The sequence below is a fragment of the Homo sapiens genome, chromosome 9, assembly GCF_000001405.40.
Source record: "Homo sapiens chromosome 9, GRCh38.p14 Primary Assembly".
NCBI lineage: Eukaryota > Metazoa > Chordata > Mammalia > Primates > Hominidae > Homo > Homo sapiens.
This window is the reverse complement of record NC_000009.12, coordinates 39004866-39008726: the sequence shown is the minus strand read 5'-3', so window position 1 is coordinate 39008726 and position 3861 is coordinate 39004866.

Here is a 3861-nt window from a genome sequence, read left to right as displayed (position 1 = left end):
CACTGAAAATTCAAATTCTGTCTTATGATGCTGGTTTATGGATGGCTTTATAGAAGCCCATCCTGTAAAGAGAGAGGGAATTAACACATTCCAAGCAGAGGAAATGGCAATTGATGGAAGAACTCAGTGGGTTCAGGAAACTGAAATAATGGATATAGATCTCCAATATGTAGAATACAGAGTGACAAAGAGGCCAGGACAGTTAATGGTGGGGATGGAGCGGGTGGGTGATCAGCCATAGGCAACATTGAATGTCATGGTCTGTAGGTAAAAACAATAAATGGTCTCATATTTTTAAAATATAAAATGTATAAAATGATTTCAAAAGTCACCAGGTGATAGATGCAATTCTAAAAAAAAATGTAGATCTTTAGAAAGGTTATTAAAGCAACTAAATGAGCAAGTTCCAGATTTTAACTGATTCTAGAGGTTTGGATATAAAATGAGATATTTCATATTTGGCCTGCTTGTACTGAACATTTACTGACAGATGTGCTTTTCTTCTGAACTAATTCTACCATGTGTGTGCTAATAAATTTTATGTAAAAACGTGTCCACAGTCAATTACATCTGGTAAACGCTAATTTGAAACAGAAGTCTTCTTTGAACCCTTAACCTGGTAAACATTTAAAATCTCCAAAAATAATGTAGAAATGCAGCAGTTACTACATTTACTTGACCATTGCTAATTCTTTTATTGAAGCATCTTGAAAGATTAGATTTTAGGTCACAATATCTGGTTATTTTTGGTTCTAAGAGATAATAGAGACTGTACAACAACAAATGTCACTATAGGGTATTACTTGTGGTAAACTATTTCTGTTATTTATTTCCTGTTAAATTAATTTAGAAAATCATATTCTGAAAGAACACAGTATAAACTTTTTATTTTCTGTGGCAGAGTTGGTAGATTGAATAAAACGACTTATTTGCATGTTGGTTCCAGCAAATGGGGTTGTCACCTGGCTGTGAGAGCAGCAGGAGCTAGCTCCGGCCTGGCATAGAGACAGAGGGCAGGGACTGATCCTCCAGCAGGCAGGAGCCGCTGCTTGCTCTGGCTCACTTTAGCACATTTTAGCAGAGAAATGCCTGCAATCCATATGGATTATAGCAGACAGCACGTTAATTAGGCTCTACATTATGGTGATCAATTATTTTTAAAAATATACCTCAGGCCAGGCTGGACGCAGTGGCTCACGCCTGTAATCCCAGCACTTTGGGAGGCCGAGACGGGCGGATCACGAGGTCAGGAGATCGAGACTATCCTGGTTAACACGGTGAAACCCTGTCTCTACCAAAAATACAAAAAATTAGCCGGGCGTGGTGGCGGGAGCCTGTAGTCCCAGCTACTCCGGAGGCTGAGGCAGGAGAATGGCGTGAACCCAGGAGGCGGAGCTTGCAGTGAGCCGAGATCACGCCACTGCACTCCAGCCTGGGCGACAGAGCGAGACTCCGTCTCAAAACAAACAAACAAACAAAAACCTACCTCAGGCCAGGTGCAGTGGCTCACGCCTGTAATCCCAACACTTTGCGAGGACGAGGTGGAAGGATTGTGTGAGCCCAGGAGTTCAAGACCAACCTGGGCAATAAAGCGAGACCCTGTCTCTACAAAAATTTTTTTAAAAAGTTAGCCAGGCATGGTGGTGTATGCCTATAGTTCCAACTACTCGAGAGGCTGAGGCAGAAGGATCGCTTGAGTCCAGGTGGTCAAGGCTGCAGAGAACCATGGTCACACCACTACACTACATGTCTCATTCTGATGTTACCCAATTTGTTGGCAAAAGCCTGTTAGACGCTTGGTTTTCCTGACTTCAAGGCCCATGTACTTCATCCTTCATGCCCTTGAATCTGCCCTTTTGTATTAGGTTTAATTTGTCATTTGAGCTAAGTTTCAGAAATCTTGGGCAGATTTTAAGTAAACTGAATAAAAAATAGTCCATTCTCTCAAATTTGGATTTTCTTTCTCTAGTTAAAATGGTAGCATTTTCATAACAGTTTAGTAGAGAAAATAATTTCATAAAAAGGGAGTTTTTTAAAAAATCACATCTCTTTATGAATATAATGCCATGCCAAAGGCATGTACCTTTTCTCCTAAACTAGGGCTTTTTAGGGTTATATAGAAAGAATCTTCACAGTCTAAAGCATTTTGAGTATGTTGTGGGCCAGAATACATTAACTGATAATTTACTATGCATGAATCAATTGACTAATGTGTCAGTGAAGGACAGATAGCAAGCAAACACCTGCCTACTATAATTTATTACTCAATATAAATGAAACTTATCACATTCTCTTTTTCTGATTACCAGAAAAAAAATCCTTTTAGTTCATTTTGGAAGAAAATTGAAACCTACATTAAAAGCATTACAATTTTTGGTAAAATATACCCTTGAGCAAATATATATGAAAAATGTTAATTGTAAGTTGGCTGTCATTCCTACCTAACATGTAGTTTATCTCAACACAAAGCTGAGCAGCCAAGCACAAAGATAATGCTAATTTTTTTATAGCCATTAATAGTTAATGCTAGAAAAGCTGTCATATTTTGTTTTAAAATATTCCCTAGAATGTAGTATTTCATATCTATGACATTTCATAGGAATACAAAAATGCATACCTCTCAACATTTATAACAACAACAAAATCCTTCAGTGTGATATTTTGGCAAAAATAAGGGAGAAAGTTCCAAATTTTGAATAAATTAATCTTTAGTACTTTTTCTTATAGTTGAAAAATGAGACAGAAAAATTCTTGTGTAAGACTAGACAAATATTAAACTGCTTTCACATTTTGTCTTAATTACTCACTTGGTTACATTCCTATTGAAGAAAAAGTTTATCAGTGAGTCAGTGAGGCACCAAGATGTCAAAGCATTAATACTACAGAATAAAAAAGCCTAATAAATACAAATGTCCACAGAACTATTTGTACACAAATGTTTATGGCAGCTTTATTTTTAATAGTAAGAAATGAGCCTAGATGTTCATCAACTGTTGAATAGATAAATGCTTGTAGTATAACCGTCCAATGGAATAGTAATCCAATATTTAAAAGGAATGAATTATTAATGCAAATGAGTTAATTTCAAAATAAATATGGTGGCCAGGTGTGGTGGCTCATGCCTGTAATCCCATCACTTTGGGAGGCCAAGGCGGGCAGACCACAAGGTCAGGAGATTGAGACCATCCTGGCTTACACATGGTGAAACCCCGTCTTTACTAAAAATACAAAAAATTAGTCGGGCGTGGTGGCAGGCACCTGTAGTCCAGCTACTCAGGAGGCTGAGGCAGGAGAATGGCATGAACCTGGGAGGCAGAGCTTGCAGTGAGCCAAGATCGTGCCACTGCACTCCAGCCTGGGCGACAGAGCGAGACTCCATCTCAAAAAAATAAATTAATTAAATAAAATAAATAAATACAGTGAGTGAAAAAAGGCAGACAAAAAGAGTACATACTGTAAAAATTGTATTTCTATGAAATTCTAGAAAATTCGAACCAATCTACGGTGACAGAAAAGAAATAAACAGTTGCCTAAGAAGGAGTGGGTACAAAGTGATTACAAAAACAAGCATTGCCAAAGGACAAAGGAAACTTGAGAGTGTGGTGGATGAGTTCCCCTCCTTGAGAGTGGTGTTGGTTTCATGGATGTATGTATGTGCCTATGCTTGTTAAATTGTATACTTTATACGTGTGCAGTTAATTTTACATAAATTTTAACCTCATCAAGCCTGTTAATAAAAGGTTTTTTTTAGATAAATATTAAGGGGAGAAATTGTTCTACCTGTAACCATAGTTGACCAAGATACATTTTCTTGTCACCATTACTAAAATAGTTATAGTGGACATATCTATTTGGATATGT